Source organism: Homo sapiens, chromosome 10, assembly GCF_000001405.40.
Source record: "Homo sapiens chromosome 10, GRCh38.p14 Primary Assembly".
NCBI lineage: Eukaryota > Metazoa > Chordata > Mammalia > Primates > Hominidae > Homo > Homo sapiens.
Window position 1 is genome coordinate 110,425,816 of NC_000010.11, and position 22,532 is coordinate 110,448,347.

Here is a 22,532-nt window from a genome sequence, read left to right on the forward strand (position 1 = left end):
TATTCACTAAAAGAGCCCCTACGAATAATTAACCCAGTAGTAATAATAATGCCCACCATTTGTCATTCTTTCTATGTGCTCTGTACATTACACGTGCATCTCAGTTTATCCCAATCAGTAGGCGGTTCCATCCTTCAATTTCATTTTACAAATGAAGAAACCAAAGCTCACAGGGGACATGTAACTTGCCGAAGTTCACATAGCCACAGAGGGCAGAAGCTGAATTCAAACCACTCACTCTGACTCAGCATCCACCTCAGAGCAGCCATTCAGTGGCCTCTTGTGACACATAAAGCAAGAAGATACCAGTGAGTTTTTGGACCATGTCTTCTTGGTAAAGTTACCATTAGTCTGACCACAGATGTTTCTCAAGAAGCAGTGAAGGGGTTGGTTTGGTGATGTCAGTGGCCGGGGTCAGATGAACCAAACCATTGCTAGGCTGTGATGTCTGAGGCTGCCCACGAACTGGTTATTGCCCAGATTTAAAAGAAAGGTGGAAAAAATTATCCTAGTCTACCATATGGCTCAGCCAGCCATAGTGTTTACATAGTCAGAAAAGGTCAACACAGAATAGCGATATAATCAAAATTACCCTCTACGGTGTGGCTGTATTGGGAAGAGAGAGGCGGGGGTGGGTGTGAGGCAACAGGAGCTAAAAGAACTCCTGGTCTCCCAGGGCAGGAAATCAAGAAAAAACTCCTAAAACTACACAGATCAAGAAGAAACTATGTGAGATGTTATTTAGAGACATGAAAGTGAACATTCCAAAGAATCCGTTTCAAGAGTCGAAAGTGGCCACCCTGGAGATGGGTCAGGGCTGCAGTTGTTCATGACTAACTTTGTACATTTCTGAGAAATCTATGCTTATGTGTAACTTCTCTTAAAATAAAAAATTTAATAAAATCCAAAGCAAAAACAAACAGAGCAATTCTGGCCCCATTTGGGGAGGGAGTGGGCTGTGATTACGAGAATGAGGGCCCAGCGGGTGGGGATTCCTCTGTCAGGCATGCAACGGGAAGCTGGTGGGGTCTTGGCAAGGCTTTGGTGGAGAGACGTCATTGGAATGGTGACCTCATTTGGAACCGGTGAGGGCAGGAGAAGGTAGAAGGGTTAAAAAGAAGAAGAACCACCAAAGGAGAAGAAAAGGAAGCCTGGTCATTCTACAGCCAAGGTCATACTCCCAGGAGACCTACGGCCTTTTGTCGGGGTTACACAAATGTAAAACAAAGGTGTGGTCTCTCCACTAAATGGGGAAGTTTCCACCAGGAGGCCAGTGTGTCATTGAGTAATGTGAATAGTGGAACCCATCCCCAGCTAGTCAGGCCCACACATTCCATACCAGGACCCACGGGCCTCGGGGGTAGAGGCAGGAAGGTAGCATTTGTCTATTGTGAGAACAAGCAGCTTATGTAGACATCAAAGGTCTCAGGATAGCGTATATTCTTCCAGATCTGTGAGGCCCAAACACACACACATGGAGGAGGATCCCAGGGTCTCAGCCCCTCCCCAGATTCTCAAGACTCAGGCCTTGTCCCCTCTCCCATGGGGGTCCTATTGAAAGGAATCCAGAGACCCTGGGAGAATCTGAGTAGGAAGAGGGAACTGGACTTACTGCCATAGGCCCAGGCCTGGGTCAGGACTGTGTCTCTCTGGAAAAGCCACTCTCTTGGGAACTGAGAAAGCCCAGAGCTTGGGCCCAGAGCAGCCCAGGCCTTGACTGGCCTGCCTGTTCCGTCCTCCTGTCTTCTCCAGGAAGCATTTTCTCCTTCCTTCCTTCCTTTCTTTCTTTCTTTCTTTCTTTCTTTCTTTCTTTCTTTCTTTCTTTCTTTCTTTCTTTCTTTCTTTCTTTTTTCCTTCCTTCCTTTCTTTCTTTCTCTTTCTTTCTTTCTTTCTTTCTTTCTTTCTTTCTTTCTTTCTTTCTTTCTTTCCTTTCTTTCTTCCTTCCTTCCTTTCTTTCTTTCTTTCTTTCTTTCTTTCTTTCTTTTCTTTCTTTCTTTTTCTTTCTTTCTCTTTCTCTCTCTCTTTCTTTCTCTCTCTTTCTTTTTTCTCTTTTCTTTTTTTTTTTTTGAGACAGAGTTTTGCTCTGTCACCCAGGCTAGAGTTCAGTGGTGCAATCTTGGCTCACTGCAACCTCTGCCTCCTGGGTTCAAGCGGTTCTCCTGCCTCAGCCTCCCGAGGAGCTAGTATTACAGGCATGTGCCACTGCGCTTGGCAAATTTTTGTATTTTTTAGTAGAGACAGAGTTTCAGCATGTTGGCCAGGCTGGTCTTGAACTCCTGACTTGAGGTGATCTGTCCACCTCAGCCTCCCAAAGTGCTGGGATTACAGGTGTGAGCCACTGCACCCAGCCCAGGAAGCATTTTCTCGATGAGCTCACCAACTCACACCCTGCCTTTACATAACTAGTGTCTCAGTGTTCTGACCTCCAGATATTTGGTCTATAGAGGACACCTCAGCCTGTCTGAGGAAAGACTGATTTGGTGGGGACAGGCCCAGCCCTTAGTGTTATAGGCCTGAGTTTGAACCCCAGTTTTTCACCTGCTAGTTGTGTGGATGCTTTGTTTTTGTTTTTGTTTTGTTTTGTTTTTGAGACAGGGTCTTGTTCTGTCACCCAGGCTGGAGTGTACTGGCAGGATCATGGCTCACTGCAGCCTCAGCCTCCTGGGCTCAAGCAATCCTCCCACCTCAGCCTCCCAGGTAGCTGGGATGACAGGTGCATGCCACCACGTTTGCCTAATTGTTGTATTTTTTTATAGAGACAGGGTGTCACCATGTTGCCCAGGCTGGTCTTGAACTCCTGGGCTCAAGCATTCCTCCTGCCTTGGCCTCCCAAAGTGTTAGGATTATAGGCATGAGCCATGGTGCCTCACCTGTGTGGACTCTTTGAGGCCCAATTTCCTCATCTGAGAACGTTAGGATGAAAACTCACTCCCAAGAGTTGCGAGGCTCAAAAGTGCTACCCTGGGTTAAGCACTGGCCCAAAGTGGAACTGGATTGGAAGAATGGTTAAGACTCAGGCTAGGATGGGGTTGGAGGGAGGCAGGGCCTTGGCAGCCCTCTCCCTTGCAGCAGTGATTTTTATTAAGGCAGGAACTGGACTGGACACACTCAGACAATCACCTTCATGCTGGAGATGTGGCTGGCGCTGGCAAAACCTCTGTGAGATGCTGACTCAGGACAGGTGCCGCTGAGGCCCTTTAGGAAACAGAATTCCACCCATTAGAACCCCTTCAAATGGGGAAGCAGCTAAGTTTGTAGTCCCGCTTCAGGTAGGTTTGGAGGGGTTTCTCATTCTCTCTCAATTTGAGTTCAGATGCAGATGCCTCCTGGGAACTGAAACCCCTCCTATGCTTGGCCTGTATCTTGTTTGGATGCTGCTGTGTCTTGTAGCCATGCCACTGGGGTCACCAGCCAGGGCACATCATTGTCACACAGCCTCCAGCTTCCCAATTCTGACCCTTACCTGCAAAGCCCTCCCTCTGTCCCCTGGGGCTCACCAACACTGTTTCCCATCTCCCTTTTTCTTTCATCTTCACCACAGCCTGGGACAGATGTCAGGGAGGGATAATTATCTACATTTTAGAGAGGAACAAACTGATCCAGAGAAGTAGAGTGACTCACTGTTCTTGCCTGGCTGGATCTAGTCATCTCCTAACCCAGCTACCATCTCTCTAATCCACCCAGCCCTGTCACCTGTCACCAGGGTTACCTTCTTAAAGCCAATGCCCCATTCAGACTTCTGGCTATTTTCCAGTGAGCACCCAGTAAAGAGTCCCCAGCTGCCCTCTCCTGCGTCATCACTCCCGTGTCCCTTTCTACACCCCATGCTGTGACCACATCAGCCCACTCACTCTTCCTACTATATGTTCTCCCCATCTCAGTGGCTCCCCTCATGCTGCATTCTCTGCCTGGTATTCTCTCCCTTCCCTCCCTTCCTTCTCTGAATGTCAAAGTTGAATTCCTCCACCAGGGTCCAGCTCAAATGTTACCGCCTGCTTTGGAGCCTCCCCCGCCAGTCCCCAGTAAGCATGAATCTCTTCTTTCTCTGCACTCGCTGAGTGCTTGGCTTTTACCTGCCCTGGTGCATCGATTTCATTCCACCTGGAGCTAGCGGTGTTTTGCACCATTTGCCTCCCCCAGGGTCTGTAAGCAACTTCAGACCCAGAACCCCAACTTAGTCATTGTGTTCTATGACCTTGGCAAGTAACTTGACCTTTTCTGGGCTATAAAATGGGGATGACAGCAGCTTTACCAGGGTAGGATAAGGATTGAACAAATCACCAAGGTCAGTGCTTGGTGAATGATGGGGGACGATGATTGTGAAGCCAGTCAGAGCCAGCTGTGGCTGAGTCTTCTGAGCCCAGAAACTTGTTTCTGTTCACTTCCTTCCTTCCCCAAAAAGGCATTAAACCCACCTGAGGAAATTAGACTGCTGTGATTTTGTTTGTTTATTTGTTTTTGAGACAGAGTCTTGCTTTGTCACCCAGGCTGGAGTGCAGTGGCGTGATCTTGGCTCACTGCAACCTCTGCCTTCTGGGTTGAAGCAGTTCTCCTTCCTCAGCCTCCTGAGTAGCTGGGATTACAGGTGCTTATCACTACACTCGGCTAATTTTTATTTTTTTAGTAGAGACAGGGTTTTACCATAGTGCCCAGGCTGCTTTTGAACTTGTGACTTCAAGTGATCCACCCACTTCGGCTTCCCAAAGTACTAGGATTACAGGCGTAAACCACCACGCCCAGCCTAGACTATTGTGATTCTTAAAGGCAGCTACACACTAGAATCATCGGCGAGCTGTTGCATCAGAATCCCTTGAGGAACTGGCTGAAAATTTAGATTACTGGGCCTTACCCTGGACCTTCTAAATCAGATTTCCAGGGTGGAGCCCAGGAACCTGCATTTTTAACAAGCTTCCTAGGGGATTCTGCTGCAACAGTTCTGGCCACACTGGGCCATAGGAAAGACAGAGGGTAGCTGGGGTGGGACATGATGATCACACCTTCCCCTTTGCTTAGGTGATCGTGGAAGTGGCTTTGGGGGATAACAGTGCCCACAGCCAGCCACCAGTACTCTTCATCTAGCTCCTCTTTGAGCCCTAGTCCAAGGCTAGGGTAACAGGGCTGGTCAGTAGCCAGACTTGGTTACTAGATTCGCAACTGGCAAAGCACCTGACCCAGTCTGGGTGCTCGGCAAATATTTGTGGAACCAACTGAATTCCCCTGGGGCTGGCTCTGGCAGGGGACCTGTGACCTAGCCTGCTGGGCTAGACCCTAGCCCCTGCTCCTCCTTCTGGGCCTGGCTGCCTCCCCAAGGAGCCAGCAGGGAGAGGTTTGACTGGTTCCATGGGGAGGAAACCACTGCGGCTCAGCCCAGGGAGCCGCACCCTGAGGAAGGAGAGCTGGGGCAGGAGTAAACATCTGGAGACCCCGTCCTCCCACCAGCAGTAGAGGAGGACCTCCGTCAGCAAGGATCTACTGAGCTGAGACCCAGTGAGCTGAGTCTTAGTGCTCACTCAGGGCTTCTCAATCCCAGCTGCACATAGAATATTGGAAAATATTCAGAAAGTACCACTCTTGGGCCCACCTCCAACCAATGGAATCAGAATCTCTGGGATGATGCCTGAGAATTGATACATCTGGAAAGCAGCACGAGCGATTCTGTTGTATGGCTAGAACTGAAAAACTGCCCGGCCAGCTGGCCTTTCTTTTACTCTCCTTTTGCCCCCCAATGCTTTGTAGTCTGACGTTGCTCAGAAATTTAACAGTAAAAAATCACAGCTCATAACTGGTGAGCCCTTCTGTGTGCCAGGGCCACACTGGTTACTGCAGATAGAGCAGTGAATGTGCCCCTGCCTTCACAGAAGCCACTCGCAGAGAAGACTAGCAGAGAAGGCAGGCTAGCAAACAAAGCATCAGAATAGAGTGTTCTGGGGGTGTCCAAGAGGAGCCCCCACTTCAGAGCCTGAGGGTTGGTAGGGATGAGGGGAGGCTTTCTGGAGGAAGTGGAGCCTAGGTGGAGGTCTGAGGACAGGTAGAACGGGTAGAGGTAAGCCTGGGGAAGGTGAGGTGGGAGGAGTGAGGAAGGCAGACGGAACAGCCTGTGCTAGCAAGAAGAGCCCCAAGCAAGAAGGAGCTCGATTCACGTTCAGATCTCAGATCGGCTGCAGTGTGGATGGAGGGATTCCCACAGGAGGGATTAGACCTGGGAAAGGGGACAGGGCTAGATCGCACAGAGGTCTGTATGCCAGTAAGGCAATTTTGATCCTAAAAATAAGAAGCCAGTGATGGATTTAGAAGATGGGAGAGTAGAGATGGACAAGAGTGGAGCTGTGTTTCCTCTGCGGCTAGGTGCAAAATGGATTGGAGAAGGGAAAGTGGAGGCAGGAGACCAGCCAGGAGGAGAGCTGTCTGGCCTGGGAGACGAGGGCCACCTGGCTCAGGTGGCAATGAAAGGGTGCAGACAAATTGAGGCGCTACAGAGGAAGTGGCTTTAACAGGGCTTAGTGACTCACAGGAGAAGGGACAGGCAGGAGTGCCCAGTATTATGGGCTGAACTGTACACCCCCAGAATTCACTTTTTGAAGCCCTAACCCCCAGTGCCCCAAATGTGATGGTATTTGGATATATTAGTTTGGTGCAAAAGTAATTGCGGATCTTGCCATTACTTTCAATTACTTTTGCACCATAATAGAAGCTTTGAAGAGGTGATTAAATTAAAACAAGGCTGTTACAGTGGACCTTAATCCAATCTGACTAGTGTCTTTATAAGAAGAGGAATTATTATTTTTTTTTTTTGAGATGTAGTTTCCCTCTTGTTGCCCAGGCTGGAGTGCAGTGGTACAATCTCAGCTCACTGCAACCTCTGCCTCCTAGTCCAAGCGAGTTTCCTGCCTCAGCTAGGATTACAGCCGCCCACCACCATACTCGGCTAATTTTTGTATTTTTAGTAGAGACGGGGTTTCACCATGTCAGCCAGGCTGGTCTCCAACTCCTGACCTCAGGTGATCCACCTGCCTCGGCCTCCCAAAGTGTGGAATTACAGGTGTGAGCCACCATGCCCAGCTGAAGAGGAAATTTGGACACACAGAGAGACATCAGGGGTGCACATGCACAGAGGAAAGGCCATGTGAGGATGTGAGGACACAGCCAGACATTTGCAAGCCAAGAAGAGAGGCCTCAGGAGAAAGCAACCCTACCAACACATTGATCTTGGACTTCCAGCCTCCAGAACAGTGAGAAATACATTTCTGTTGTTTAGACCACCAGTCTGTGGTGTTTGTTACAGCAGCCCTAGCTGACTGATACACCCAGGATGAAGCTGAGGTTTCTAGTTTGCACAGCCAGGTGTGTGGGTACCATGTATTGAAGGGGGAGTGATATAGTTTGGATCTGTGTCCCTGCCCAAATCTCATGTTGAATTGTAATACCCAGTATTGGAGGGAGTGATGGGATCATGGGGGTGAATTTCTCATGAATGGTTTAGCACCATCCCCTTGGTGCCGCCTTCATGGTAGTGAGTGTGTTCTCAGGAGATCTGGTCCCTTAAAATTGTGTAGCACCTCCCCGCCCCCCGACTCCTACTTGTGCCACATGATGTGCAAGCTCCTGCTTTGCCTTCCACCATGATTGGAAGCTTCCTGAGGCCTCCCCAGAAGCAGATGCCAGTGTTATGCTTCCTGTACAGCCTACAGAACCATGAGCCAATTAAACCTCTTTTCTTTGTAAATTATCCAGTCTCAGGTATTTCTTTATAGCAATGCGAGAATGGCCTAATACAGGGCAGATGAGAGGTTGAGTTTGAAACCTGTTGTGTTAGAGGGGCTCAGTCACCAGTTGCACTGGCCACAGCTGCTCCTCTCCTGATGGCACAGAAAGGCAGCCACGTAGGTAGGGGATGGGAACGGGAGGTCTGGAGACCACGCTCTAGGTTTACCTGCACACTGTGTGGCATCGGAAAAGCCCTGCACCTGCTCGGGGGCCCTCCTGTAGCAGGACCGATTGGTCTTCCAGGTCCCAACAGGCCGGGCCTCCGAGGCCTATTCCCAGCAAGGTGCTCCTGGAACGACTTCAGCACCTCTCCAGGGAAGGTGCTGTTGTTCTTGGTTCTCCCATCCAGGATGTTAACCAGGAAGGGGGCCAGTGCCCCAGGAGGCCATGAAGTGCAAACAACTCTGAGTTGGCAGCAGTGCCCTGTTCCGCCCGCAGAGCCTCCCTGCAGGAAGTTGGCTCCAATAGGTCCCCAGACACCCTCACCTCAGACCCAGGAGGCCCAGAGAGGAGCTCCCGGTGCCAGGGCTCAGAGAGAGCTGGCCCTACCAAGGCCTGTGCCTGCTCCTTCAAACACTTGGGCTTTCCCTCCTCGTCTCACACTCCAACATGCCCGACAGATAGGACTGATAGATTCAGGGGGAAAAAACAAACAAACAAACAGGATGCCCAGTTAAATTTGAATTTCAGATAAACACCAAATAGTTTTTAATATAAGTATTTTCCTTGTAATATTTGGGACATGCTTATTCTAAAAAAGTATTTGGTGTTTATCTGAAATTCAAATTTAACAAGGGTGTCCTATATTTTATCTGGCATTCCTACCCAGAAAAGACCCCAGGAGTCATCCAGTGATCCCCAAAGAGGAATGGGGTGGTTCCTCTGCCCCCCAACTCAACCCACTTGCTTCAGCCAGAGGCTGATGACAACTTGTCATTTCCCAAATCCTTGTCAAGCTGCTCACCAGATGTTAGGGCTGGCTTTGGTGCCAAGGTATCTTTGGAAAGGTGTTGTGTCTAATTAACCTAATAAGTAGGTTGTAAGCTCTGACCGGAAGTGGTGGAGGATTCACCCTGACAGATGGGGAGGAGTGGGTCATGCCTGTTGCAGGCACCTGCCCACAAGCTGCCGGCTGTGGCCTGCGGAAGGGCTAATGGGAGGCTTCAGCTTCACATGAGACACAGGGCAAGCAGAAGTTACACAACATCATATTACCAGTGACAATAGCTGCCATTTATAGAGCCCTTACTATGCCAAGCATGGATCAAGCATTATCTCATTTAATCCTTACAACAATTCTAGCAGGCAGAAGCTGTTATTATCCCCATTTAATAGATGATCAAACTGAGGCCAAGAGGCTGAGTAACTTGCCCAAGTTCACATAGCTAGAAAGGGATAGAGACAGGAATTAAAACCCAGTACTTCAGACTCTGGACTCTGTGCTTCTAGCCACTGTCCCCTCCGTCCTTTCCCCCAACCCCAAATCGTTTTCAAGACATTTGGTGAATGACATATACAGTACACGGAGAGATACAAGGAAATACCATTTATGATTCCATCAATGTTGATCAAGCATTTTCTGTATGTGAGACATTCTCCCTTTCCTCTGACCTCACGGACATCATAGTCTGGTAGGAGACACAGATATCAATAAATTATTGTATGAGAAACAGAACAAAAACAGTTCAATGAAATATAATTGCTATTAAGGAAATATAATTGCTATTAAGGATACTGCTGTTAGGGAAGGCAATAGACTTGGTGATCAAGAGCCTGGGCCCTAGGGCCAGGCTGCTTGGACACAGTCTCCCTTTACTAGGTATGTGACTTTGGCTGGATTTCTTAGTTTATTTCTGCCTCAGTCTGCAAAATGGGTGCAATATTACTCACCTCACAATGTTGTAACAATTAATTAAACCGATCCTTGAAAGGCACTTAGATAGTATCTAACAGTAATTACTTTAGTCAACAAATACTTACTGAGAACCTGCAATATGCCAAGCACTGCTCTAGGTTATTGGGATCCATTGGCAAACAAAATGGAAAAAATATCTACCCTTGTAGGGTTTATATTGTTGCTTACATTCTAGTGATAGCCATTATTGTTATTATTATTATTATTATACATTTTCACTGCTCCTTGTGGAGCAGGGCTACCCTATAAGCAGTGAGCCCAGAGTAACCAAGCCATTATTTTAAAATGAATTCTTATTATGTAAATAATGTTAGTTCATATTTTAAAATTATTATTAATTTTTTTATTTATTCTTTTTTTTAGAAACAGGGTCTCACTCTGTTACCCAGGCTGTAGTGCAGTGGCGCAGTCATAGCTCACTGCAACCTTGAACTTCTGGGCTCACATGATCCTCCTGCCTCAACCTCCCAAGTAGCTGGAACTACAGGCATGTGACACCATGCCTAGCTAGTTTATTTTATTTATTTATTTTTTTGTAGAGATGGGATCTTGCCATGTTGCCCAGGCTGGTAAAATTGTTATTTTTAAGTGATTTGTTATTATTTAATAATTTTTTCTTGGCCTTAAGAGGGCACAAAACAGGAAGATATTTCACCCTCTGGGTTGGCACAAGAATATTTCCTATGGTTTTAAATTCCCACTGGGTTTGGGGATGGGAGTTGATACTACTGATAGCTGACCAGCTTTGAGGCAGAATGGGTTAAAAACTTGGGAGTGGGCCGGGCACAGTGGCTCACGCCTATGATCCCAGCACTTTGGGAGGCCGAGGTGGGTGGATTACCTGAGGTCAGGAGTTCGAGACCAGCTTGGCCAACATGGGGAAACCCTATCTCTACTAAAAACACAAAAATTAGCCGGGTGTGATGGCATGCACCTGTAGTCCCAGCTACTTGGGAGGGAGGCTGAGGAAAGAGAGTTGCTTGAACTCGGGAGGTGGAGGTTGCGGTGAGCTGAGATTGTGCCATGGCATTCCAGGTTGGGCAACAGAGTGAGTCTCCGTCCCCCCACAAAAAAAATTGGGAGTGGACCGAGGAACCATAGGAAGGAGTGTAGGGGGTCTGCCAGGCTGGGGCTGAGAGGATGGTGCCTGTCTTTTTCTGAGAATCCTTTGTGAAAGTCTGATTCCAAGAGAAAGCCTGGCCCTGGGCAGGTGGCTAAAGTTCACAAAGGCTAACATGGAGAGTGAACCTGGCACTGGGGCAGGGAGGGAGGCGGTCAGCGGCGGCTTCTGACAGCCCTGACTAACTGCCAAAAACAGGGTTTCAGCTGCGAACCAATGACACCCCAGAGCCCCAAAGACTTCTAGGAACTTTACCCTCCCCACTCCCAGCTTGCCCCAGCCCTGGTCCACACCTGTTCATTAGAAAATGACTTTTAAAAAATTTACTTATTTACTTTATACAGATGGGGTCTCACTATATTGCCCAGGCTGGTCAGAAACTCCTGGGCTCAAGTGATCCTCCCGCCCCGGCCTCCCAAAGTTCTGGGATTGCAGTTGTGAGTCACTGTACCCAGCTGAGAAAATGACTTTTTATTTTCTTTATAAGAGATGGGGTCTTGATATGTTGCCCAGGCTGCTTTTGAATTCCTGGGTTCAAGCAATCCTCCCACCTCGGCCTCTCAAAGTGCTAGGATGACAGGTGTGAGCCACCATGCCTGGCTGAGAAAGTGAGTTTTCATTTGTCACTTGTCATGCTGCCTGCCTGCCTGCTTCAGAGGGTGGGAGGGACGGGGGATCCATGGGAAAACTGAAGCTCTTGTGAAGATTACAGAGGAGGCCTGATTGGGGAAAGGAAGGTGCCCTCCCAGGAATGCCTGGGAGACCCCGAGAGTAGGTGCTGTGTTCTCACGTTCTCATTGTCCTGAGAGACCAAGCCTCTGGCTGAATGCAGAGGAAGGTGATGCATCCAGCTGGGTGCCCCCTCCCCCAGCCCCCATGCAAGGTGTTGGGGCTCACGGTACTTCAGGGTGTTCAGTTTGTAGTCAACAAGGGATAGGGGGACCTGAGGGTTGATTTTGTTCAGCAAGATACACAGTTTAAACTTTCAGCTAACGGAAGGTATTTTTGGTTTAGGGGAACAGGGATGAATTCTGGGCCACCTGCACATGTGTAAGTACAGCCATGAGCCTGCACCCATGAGGGCACGTCTGCTGTGCGTGTCTGGATGCCTGTGTGTCTGCTCTCCATCTCTGGGTAGATTCACATATGAATACATATGTGAATACGGTTTGTGTGTCTGTTTGGATGGGCAGGAAAGAACTTAATCAAATGAGTCAGGAAATGAGGATTCCCTGGGGTCTGCTCCCAGCTGGGCCTCTCATGCAGTGGGGCCTTTGATCTGTCCCTTCTGCTCTCCGGGCCTCCCCTGCCACACAGCCTGTTGCCCAAGCTATACTGGCTGATGCTAGTGCCCCTGAACGGGCTGGGTTCTTGGTGCCTCAGCCTGGCATGGGGAGAAGATCTGGGACTCAGGGAGCCTCCGAGGGTTGGCAGCAGGGTCCTGGGATGCACCCCATGACTGGCTAATTGGTCCCTTAGCACCGAGCTCAGGTACCGTCGCCCTGGTGCTGCTGCGCCTGCTCCCTGCCATGCCCTTCCAACTGGGCTGCACCGGGGACAGGAGGAGGAGCACCCAACAACCCTTCGGCCCACCCCTGCACAACCAGGCCCAGCGATAAATTAGCATGTAGTGCCCAGGCTGGCCCCAAGCTACTCTGGCCACTTCCTGTTGGAGGTGGCCCCAGGCTCCCTGACCTCAAGGTGAGAAAATGCTGTTTCCAATGAACCTGCCCAGGATGACTGTTAACAGGGAGGAGGTCAAGGGCGGTGGCCATCCCTGAATCCAGTCAGCCCAACAGGGTCTACAAAAACAAACAAAACGTCCATGCCACCCACCCAGCTGGGCTCAGGCTTCCTCTGCCCCCATCTCTCCCTCTCATTTCTGTCGCCAGCTGTCCTATTGGAAAAACACTAGGGCAATGCTGACCAATGGAACTTTCTGCAATGATGGAAATATTCTCTATTTGTGCTGTCCAATATGGTGGACACCAGCCACATGTGGCTATTGAGTACTTGAAATGTGGCTCATGAGAATGAAGACTTGTGTTTTTTGGTTTTTGTTTGGTTTTTGTTTTTTGTTTTTTTGTTTTGTTTTGTTTGTTGTTGTTGTTTTTGAGATGGAGTCTTGCTCTGTCACCCAGGCTGGAGTGCAGTGACGTGATCTCGCCTCACTGCAACCTCTGCCTCCCAGGTTCAACTGATTCTCCTACCTCAGCTTCCCGAATACAGGCATGTACCTGGGACTACAGGCATACACCATCATGCCCGGCTAATTTTTGTATTTTTAGGGAGACAGGGTTTCACCATGTTGGCCAGGCTGGTCTTGAACTCCTGATCCTGACCTCAGGTGATCCTTGGCCTCTCAAAGTTCTGGGATTATAGGCATGAGCCACCGCACCCAGCCTAGACTTGTGTTTTAATTTTAATTTTATTTTGGACAGCATAGCTCTAGTGAACCAATTCCTACTGAGAGGACCAAAAATGGTGTCATCATTGAGATGATCACACTTGATCCTATACCAGTGGCAAAGTTCTTTCATGTCTGTGGGTACTCACTGGAGCCTCCCAGTAACTCTCTAGGCCAAGGCAGGAACCACTGCACATGGGACAAGCTACTTGCCCAAGGTCTTCCAGCCAGCAGGTGCAAGGGCTAAGACTAGAGCCCAGATCTTCTGATTCTAGAAGTGAGGCTTGTGCTGAGCATGGTGGCTCATGCCTGTAATCCCAGAACTTTGGGAGGCTGGGACGGGAGGATCCCTTGATCCCAGGAATTTAAGACAAGCCTGGGCAACATGGTGAGACCCCATCTCTACAAAAAGAGTAAAGTAAAAAAATTAGCCAGGTGTGGTGGTACATGTCTGTAGTCCCAGCTACTCTGGAGGCTGAGATGGGAGGATTGCTTGAACCCAGGAAGTCAAGGCTACAGTGATCCCTGATCATGCCACGGCACTCCAGCCTGGGAGACAGAGAGAGATCCTGTGTCCAAAAAAAAAAAAAGAAGTGCAGCTTACTACATCACCAGCCTCGCTCCAGCAGACCTGCTGTTGGGTGGAAGCATAACCAAAAACAATGACTGATGCCAGAATTTCAGGCTCAGGCTTGACCTGTGGAGAAAAGGTTTTTGAGGTGGACTATGGAGGGGGACATTGGAACCTAAAGTTGCTCACTCGATTTGTAGATAGAAGGGGTGAATGTGGCTATGTATGGGGACACATATGCCAGGCACTGTTAGGCTCTTTACAGATGTGATTTCATTTACCTTCACAAGGTGGGGCATTGTTCTCCCCACTTTATGGATAAGGAGATAGAGGCTCAGAGAGGTGACTTGAGTTGTCCAAGGTCATACAGCAAACAAGCGGCAGAGCTGGGCTTTGGACCAGGCACTTTGGCTCCAAAGGGTTTGCCTCCACTACCACCTCACTTGGGATGAAGGCCTGAACTAGAAGCTGATTTGTGTGCATCAGACAGCACTCTGAACTGGGCCTCCGCTACCTGCAGAACTCTCACTGAAGCTCTGCAAAGCAAAAGAACATGGCTCTCTAGGCCCCTTTCCCGGTGAACCTGCGGCCAGGGCTTGGGAAACAGACACTTGTTAGTAATTAACGGTGGCTGAACAGGCCGGGCGCGGTGGCTCACGCCTGTAATCCCAGCACTTTCGGAGACTGAGATGGGCGGATCACGAGGTCAGGAGATCGAGACCATCCTGGCTAACACGGTGAAACCCTGTCTCTACTAAAAATACAAAAAATTAGCCGGGCGTGTTGGCGGGCGCCTGTAGTCCCAGCTACTCGGGAGACTGAGGCAGGAGAATGGTGTGAACCGGAAGGTGGAGCTTGCAGTGAGCTGAGATCGCGCCACTGCACTCCAGCCTGGATGACACAGTGAGACTTTGTCTCAAAAAGAAAAAAAAAAAAGAACATGACTCTCTAGGCCCCTTCTCCCGTTGAACCTGCTGCCAGGGCTTGGGAAACAGACACATGTGAGTAATTAATGGTGGCTGAACAAAGAAAAGTGGCCAAAGTGGCCTGGGTGAGCCAGGCTGGGCCCGATCCACCTAGAAAAGCTTCCCTGAGGAGGAAAAAAAGCATCTCAGTCAGTAGTTCACCAGGGTTTCATGTTTTCATTCATTCAGGATCTCCAAGGTCAGTTTCCTTCCCAATTCCTGGTTCAAATATCTATTGCTGGCCAAGCATGGCAGCTCACACCTGTAATCCCAACACTTTGGGAGGCCAAGGCAGGAGGATCACTTGAGGCCAGGAGTTTGAATCCAGCCTGGGCAACATAGGGAGACCACCGTCTCTACTAAAAGTAAAAAAATAAAAGTAAAAACAGTTAGCTGGGTGTGACAGCACATGCCTGTACTCAGGAGGCTGGGATGGGAGGATTGCTTGAGCCCAGGAGTTCAAGGCTGCAGTGAGCTATGATTATGCATTATACTCCAGCCTAGGCAACAGAGGGAGACCCTATCTCTAAAAATATGAAAATAAAAATAAATCTATTGCTGAGTTAAAACAAAAACCCAAAACTTAGTGGCTTAAAATAATTATTTGTTCATGACTCTGCAGTGTGGACTCAGCTTGGAGGGGTCAGCTCTTCTCCGCTTATGTGGCAGTTTTTTTGCTTGCCTTGCTGGGGGTCACTCGTATGGCTGCACTCAGCAGGCTAGTGGCTGGCAGAGGCCTGGGCTCAGCTGGAAGACAGGGATCGCTAGGCTTCTCTTCCTAGCCATCAGGGCCACCCTCTCTCCACGTGGCCTCTCCAGCAAAGGAACTGGACTTTTTACCTGGAAGTTCAGGGCTCCTAAGATGCTCCAAGGCCTTAAGGAGCTCCTGAAAGAAAGAATACCAGTCCTTGGCTGGGCATGGTGGCTCATGCCTGTAATCCCAGCACTTTGGGAGGCTGAGGCGGGCAGATCACTAGGTCAGGAGATCGAGACCAGCCTGGCTAACATGGTGAAACCCCTTCTCTGCTAAAAATACAAAAGATTAGCCAGGCTTGGTGGCAGATGCCTGTAGTCCTGTAGTCCCAGCTACTCGGGAGGCTGAGGCAGGAGAATGGCGTGAACCTGGGAGGCGGAGCTTGCAGTGAGCGGAGATCGTGCCACTGCACTCCAGCCTGGGCAACAGAGGGAGACTCTGTCTAAAAAAAAAAAAGAAAGAAAGAAAGAAAGAATACCAGTCCTCGTCTCGCAGGACATTCAGAGGGTGCAGCGACAGAATGGAGGTGGAGCACTTCTCCCAGGGCCTGGCCACCACTGTGACACTCAGCTAGCTGTCACACCACTGTGTTTAAAACACTAGTCTCAGCCTCCACCACCCAGACAAGTGATAAAGCCCTAATTCTCTATGCATGACACTTCCGGTTTTATCTTTCAAAACTCCTCCCCTTTACACATCACTCTCTAGCCTAAGTGAAGGGAGCACCACGAAACGCACCACACCACTGTGCCTTCACACACTCTGCTCTTGTCCCCCAGTGTCCATCTGGCCAACATCATCTTCACTGGGGCTCCTCCTCCCCCAGCCCTCCTGACCCTTCCCCAGAGCTGGCTTTCTCAGCTTTGTCCTTGAGCTGTTCACAGATGACCTTGGCTCACCTGGATGGTGGAGACAGGCAGGACTTTTCTAAGAGGCCATACAAAGCAGCCCTGTGGGAAACGCGGCTGTGAGAATAACGGTGGATCCCAGTAGTCAAATACAAGGGCTCTGGAGCCAGGCTCTGCAGTTCAGAGCCCACTTTTTGGTACCTCCATTTTCTCATCTGTAAAATGAGATGAGAAAAATGCTGATTATAGTACTTACTTCCTAAGTGTGTTGTGAGGGTTAAATGAGACTATTACACGGAATGCACCTGTGTCTGATGCATGATGAATGCTCCCTAATTATTGCTCTTAACTGTTATCAAATATGTGCTCCTCCCGGGCCAGGCTTCTATTTTTTCCTTTTTTTTTTTTCTTTTTTTCTTTTTTCTTTTCTTTTCTTTTCTTTTTTTTTTTTTTTTTGAGATGGAGTCTCGCTCTGTCGCCCAGGCTGGAGTGCAGTGGCATGATCTCAGATCACTGCAACCTCCACCTGCTGGGTTCAAGAGATTTTCCTGCCTCAGCCTCCCGAGCAGTTGGGACTATAGGCGCCCACCACCATGCCCAGCTAATTTTTGTATTTTTAGTAGTGACAGGGTTTCACCATGTTGGCAGGCTGGTCTCGACCTCCTGACCTCAAATGATCCACCTACCTTGGCCTCCCAAAATGCTGGGATTACAGGCGTGAGCCACTGTGCCCGGCCAGGCCAAGCTTCTTTATGGACATGTGACTCTCTCCAGGAGCTGGGACTCTACCTCCACACTGGGGAACAAAGGCAGACCTGCTGTGACCTTTGTTGCACTCCTCCCTTCCTCTCTCAGCCCTGAGCCCTGGGCGGTCCTCCAACAGCCTTCAGGCTTTAGTGCCTTCCCAGCCCCACTGTGTGTTACAGGGAAGAAAGCACAGCAGATGGGGGGACAAAGTCAGTCCCTAAGGTCAGCTGGCAAGAAGAGACCAGCCTGGGTCTGGCACCCCACTTTTAGCTGGGCGCTGCTCTTCCATCCCTTCTAGGAGGCCTGGCAAGAAGCTACTGAATAGAGTTGGGTCAGCGATTCTTTCCAAAGTCTGCCTAGGAGCTTGGTACCAAGCTCGTACCCCTTGTCACAGAGCCCTGAGAACACATCAAGTTAGGGAGGGTCCACCTGAGAGTATGGGGTGGGCCAGTCTAATTAGACCAGCAGGCATTTTTGTTGTCCATTCCCTTCTTCGTTCCACAAAGACTTCCTGAGCACCTACTATGCGCCAGGCACTGTCCTAGACTCTGAGAATACAGACAGAGCAGGACTGGCAGAAGTGGACCCCGGGAGAAGTGTGTCTGTGCCTGTGAGTGGGCAGCCACTTTGTGGCCCAGACCCTAGGTGTCCTGTCTGGTGCCCTCCCTCACGTCTACCTGTGGCCAACGTAGTAAAACATAAGTGCTGGACTACGCAGGTGATGCCAGTCCTGATTCTGCCATTGCCTCCCCAAAAGGCAAGGTGGCTTGCCTCTCTGAGTCTCAGAGTCCTCATCTACAAAGTGGGAGTGCAGCTGGGAGGTCCCAGCAAGTAACACCTGCCAAGGACCCAGCACTGTGGCCAGTGCTTCCCAGCACACAACAAATGGTCTTCGTCCACCTTCTGCCTCATCTGCCATCACCACGGCCCCCACCTCCTCGGACTGGAGTCCTGCCCTTCTTTCTGGCTTCCTGGGGCTGGTCACAGCTTGACAATAGCCAAGCCGCCCCTGGTCCCAGATGATACTGGAGACCTTTCCTGTAAGCCATTTTCCCTCTGAAGCTGGAGTCACACAGGTCTTAAAGCCTCAGCTCAGAGAAAGAAGAGGGGGAGGTGACAGGGGCTATATATCAGAGGCCTGTCTCAGCTGTTGGCAGAGATTCCTTCCCAGCCAGGGACAGATGGCATCAGTCTCCTGGGGTCTGGATTGCCTGAGCTCCTGGGGTGGGTGCCAACACCAAGGGTGAGGAATTTGTGTGACCCTGTCACCTCCAGTCAGGGGACTCCCACACTCTTCTTCTTATAGCTGGGAACAAAGTGACAGGTCACTCTGAGGGGCAACTGATGACAGGCCCTTCTGTAACATTTATTTAGAACTGGCAGCCCCTCCTCCTTCCAAAAGGGCCTAAGGGAAAGCACTGACCATTTATGGAAGGCCTATTGTGTGCCCAGGCCTTTCTGCATTGACACTGCCATTGAGTCCCCACAAGAATGAGGAAACTGAGGCTCAGCAAGGTAAAGTAACTTCCTGACATCTGTCCACTAGTCCAAGGCAGAGGAGCATTAGAAAATGAGTTCCTTGACCAGGCATGGTGGTTCACGCCTGTATTCCCAGCACTTTAGGAGGCCAAGGCGGGTGGATCACTTGAGTACAGGAGTTTGAGATCAGCCTGGGCAACACAGTGAGACCGTCTCTACAAAAAATTTTTTTAAATTAACTAGGCATGGTGGTGCATGCCTGTGGTCCCAGCTACTCTGGAGGCTGAGATGGGAGGATTGCTTGTGCCTGGGAGGTTGAGGCTGCAGTGAGCTATGACTGCACTGCTTCACTCCAGCATGCCTGGGTGACAGAGTGAGACCTCATCTCTAAAAAAAGAAAAAAAAGGAAAATAAAGGAAGAAGGAAGGAAGGAAAGAAAAAAAGAAAGAAAGAAAGAGAAAGGACTTTCCTCTGTTATTTTTTAAAATGCAGATCAACAGGGCAAAAAGCATAAAAACAGACAATCATGCCTAGAGAGAGCAATAGTTCTTAACCTCCGGGAGAAGCTTTTAAGAATAGGATGTACATAATGCATTTATAATGCTGATAAGTGCACTAAGCATTTTCTAGAGGGATATATAAGAAACCATTAGTAGCACAAACCTTTAGGAAGAGAAACGGAAGTGGGGAGGGAGCAGTGAGAGAATTTTGCTTCTCATTTTGTGTCTTTCTAGAACATGAATTATTTTCCATATGCATTTAAAAAGTGAAAACAAGGGGTTATCTGGACAGTAGGATTATGGGCCATTTTAATTTTCTTCTTGACTCTTTTCTGAACTAAAAAAGAAAAATATGATTTTAAAAAAACCTTACGAAGCTAATGAAAGCTATGGACCTAATCCCAATAAAATTTTACAGATATATTAATTCATATAATTAACAACCCTTTATAGGAAAGATTGGAGGGAATGATTATACTTAAAAGCCAGGCTAAAACAAGATTTTCATGACTAGAAGGATACATTCCTCTGATATCTATATTGAAGCTACTGTCATTAATAATTAAAAATGGAAAACAAAAACCTAGGCTAATGCGGTTTCTGGAACCAAGCATTTAATTTTACTTTGAGCCCCGTGCCTTATACAGAGCTTGAACAGAGGAGATGCTCAAAAAATCCATTGGTTAGTGGACATTTTGTGCTCACTGGATCCCGAAGCAGGTACCCAGTCAACACTTGTTAACAGAAACCAGTAGTCAAATACTATTGGTCCCAACCACTGTCCCTGGACCCCAGCTGGGACCCTTATCCAGGTGAGAGTCGGAGGAGTGTGGTCAGCCTTGGGCTGAGTTGTGAGATCCTCTCCCCTGCAATGGGGTGAGGGTAAGGAGAGCACTGACCACTGTCACTACCGAGTGTCTGGGAGTGGTGGACACAAGCAGGGTCTTCCTTTCCTGACTGCCCTTTTAATACAGTATGCAGAGGATGTGTGGACTCAGCCTCATTAAATATTTACTGCCTGTCCCCAGCCTACCTACCCTCCTCCAAACACGTGCAGGTGTACAGGTGAGCAGAGGCCAGGGCTGAAACTCTCGTTCTCACATCTCTCTAGGAGCCAGAATCCAACCCCCTAGGATTCCTTTCCTCAGACCCAGGATATGAAATCACACCCAGAACACTGTGGGCACACCATGGCCTCAAAGGCAACACACGTCCATGTGTTGGCACCATCTTCCTCCAAACCAGATGACTTTTCCAGCTTCCCTCTCTGACATAGCCCCACATTCGCCCCATCACTCAAGCTCAAGGCCTCCATTTCCTCCATCTGTACCCCACTACCCCCAGTCCCGTCTCCAGACACCAGATGTTAGGAGCACTTCCTTCGGCAGCAACCTCCAGCCTTCCATCCCCTCTATTCTCCCCAGCAGCCCTGCTACCAGCCAATCAGTGTTCATGTCTGGGCTATTGCAGTAGACTCCTAACTTGTTTTCCTGATCCCAGGCCGTCCACCTCCAATCCAGCCTGCACCAGATGAATTAGAGCAGAGCACTCTTTTCCTCCATGCATGGCACAGCCCAGAAACATCTGAGAGCTTCCCATTGGCTTCAGAATGAGAGTCTCACTTGCTCACCAGCATTCATTTAATTTAGCCAACACTTACATCATTCTGGGCCAGGTACTATTTATTCTAAGTGCTTTGCAACTATTCACTCATTTAAACTTTATAAAATGAATTTGGTACTGTTATGATCACTGTTTTACAGATGGAGAAACTGAGTCACAGAAGGGTTAAGTAACTTGTCAAGGTCCCAGCATTAGTAAGCAACAGAATTCAAATTTGAACCCAAGTAGTGTAGCTCCAGAGTCCTCATTCCTGTCTTTGGGCATTTGTGTCCAGAATGCTCCATGCCACTTCGCTGACTACTTTCCCAAGGCTGAGTGTCTCCTTCGCCTTTTCCAAGCTTCTCTTCCATTTCTAGTGGCTCAGCCCAAGGGCGAGACAAACTGATCTGAGTATGATTGCCTAGTCCTTTCCTTCCCATGAGGACTCCTTTGCTCTACCTTCCTCCTATGTGGACTGCCATCCACACCCCATCTCCAGCTCGTTCTTACCCTCTGTCCAGGCTGAGCTCTTCTCACTTCTCTGACACCTCCACCCTCCATTCTCAGTGGTCATGCACACCTCCCAAAACTTCCCCTCAGCCCTCACCTGGTGCTCTTGTCTAGTCTGTAGTATCAGTCGTCTTGTGGGGTCCGTAGAGATTCTATCTTTCTAGTTCCTTGAGGGTAATGAGAGAGCATGTTGCAATTCTCACTTATCTCCCCCAGTAGTCTGTTGCCAGAGGAAGCCGGAAGTAGCCAGAGGGAGCCAGAGGGACTAGTGAGACTGGACCAGTGAGGCAACCACAGGAAGGGACACAGAGTCAGCTAGGGGTAGGCTCTGCCTTCCTGGAAAAGGCCCTACACAGACTTGTTGGGCCATGCAAGGTGAGAAAGGATGGTCCCAAGATTCGGCTTCTGCCTGCCTCTTCCACAAAGCTCCTGGCACTCTGGCCTCCTCATTCCCATCCCAGGGCATCTGTGCCAAGAATGCTGTGTTCCCATGTTGCTGCAGAGCCAGATTCCTGTCTCACAGCAGATGCTGCCTGAGTCACTTCCTCTTTGAGGCCTTCCCTGACCACTCCGTCCAATTTGTTGCCATTTCTCTTCCCCTATCTCTAGAGCCTCTCTCTCAGCATTGCCTTGTTTTATTTTTCTTTTTAATACTTACCAGTTTCCAAAGATATGACTTGATTCCTCAACCATTGTCACCCACCACCCCAATTAAAATGTAAGTTTCATGAGACATATCTCCCTTGTTCACCTCTGAACCGTAGGTCCTCACACATGCCTGGCACAGAGTAAGCCACTGATAAATATTTATTGAATGAAAGAAAGTATGGCCAGGGTCAGTAGCTCACGCCTGTAATCCCAGCACTTTGAAAGACTGAGGCAGGAGGATTACTTGAGCCCAGGAGTTGGAGACCAGCCTGGGGAACATAGTGAGATCCCTGTCTTATTTTAAAAAAGAAAAAAAAAGAAAAAGAATGCATGAAGGACCAAATGAATGAATCTTGTTTGTTGCAAACCAATGCAGCCACACATGGGCCTGCGCTTCTCCTGTCTTTCTTTGGCTGGAAAAGACCATCTGTGTCCACAGGCAACTGCAACAAAGAACCTCATCCCAATGAGTGCTTTTGTCAAGATGCCAAAGAGGCCATGTGGGCAGATCTGGAGAGGTCAGGAAATAGGGACTAGGGATGAGAGTGGTCTTGGTCCCCAGAAATTCCCACTTAAGTGGAGATGAGCTGCAGAAACCCTTTTTTGGTTTTAATCTTAATGCAAATCTTTAAAATGTGTACATAATTTTTACCATTGTGGTAGGCAAAATAGCTTAATGTAGGCATAACTGCCTTAACCAAC

General features: G+C 49.0%; 1 long non-coding RNA gene across 2 annotated transcripts, besides 5 other annotated features; it reads right to left on the minus strand.

Annotated features, from left to right (window-relative positions):
• Window positions 208-257: a silencer, noted in NCBI's record as "silent region_2814". NCBI's record gives its function as "represses an Ori minimal core promoter by ATAC-STARR-seq in GM12878 lymphoblastoid cells {active_cell/tissue: GM12878}" and the evidence as "EXISTENCE:reporter gene assay evidence [ECO:0000049][PMID:35858748]".
• LOC105378482 (uncharacterized) lies at window positions 3,025-21,621 on the minus strand. 2 transcript variants are annotated; one of them, NR_188210.1, is made up of 4 exons: window positions 21,280-21,621; window positions 16,396-16,559; window positions 9,309-9,392; window positions 3,025-3,195 (listed from the first exon to the last, which is right to left on the minus strand). It is a non-coding gene; the product is annotated as an uncharacterized LOC105378482 (long non-coding RNA). The 2 variants fall into 2 exon arrangements; NR_188211.1 differs by lacking the exon at window positions 3,025-3,195 and having other exon boundaries at window positions 9,296-9,392.
• Window positions 3,334-3,583: an enhancer, noted in NCBI's record as "active region_4020". NCBI's record gives its function as "activates an Ori minimal core promoter by ATAC-STARR-seq in GM12878 lymphoblastoid cells {active_cell/tissue: GM12878}" and the evidence as "EXISTENCE:reporter gene assay evidence [ECO:0000049][PMID:35858748]".
• Window positions 3,594-3,693: an enhancer, noted in NCBI's record as "active region_4021". NCBI's record gives its function as "activates an Ori minimal core promoter by ATAC-STARR-seq in GM12878 lymphoblastoid cells {active_cell/tissue: GM12878}" and the evidence as "EXISTENCE:reporter gene assay evidence [ECO:0000049][PMID:35858748]".
• Window positions 5,169-5,774: an enhancer, noted in NCBI's record as "H3K27ac-H3K4me1 hESC enhancer chr10:112190742-112191347 (GRCh37/hg19 assembly coordinates)". NCBI's record gives its function as "activates a minimal SCP1, AML or CMV promoter by ChIP-STARR-seq in primed H9 embryonic stem cells {active_cell/tissue: H9 hESC(primed)}" and the evidence as "EXISTENCE:reporter gene assay evidence [ECO:0000049][PMID:30033119]".
• Window positions 16,222-16,461: an enhancer, noted in NCBI's record as "active region_4022". NCBI's record gives its function as "activates an Ori minimal core promoter by ATAC-STARR-seq in GM12878 lymphoblastoid cells {active_cell/tissue: GM12878}" and the evidence as "EXISTENCE:reporter gene assay evidence [ECO:0000049][PMID:35858748]".
• Window positions 21,622-22,532: the final 911 nt, after the last annotated feature.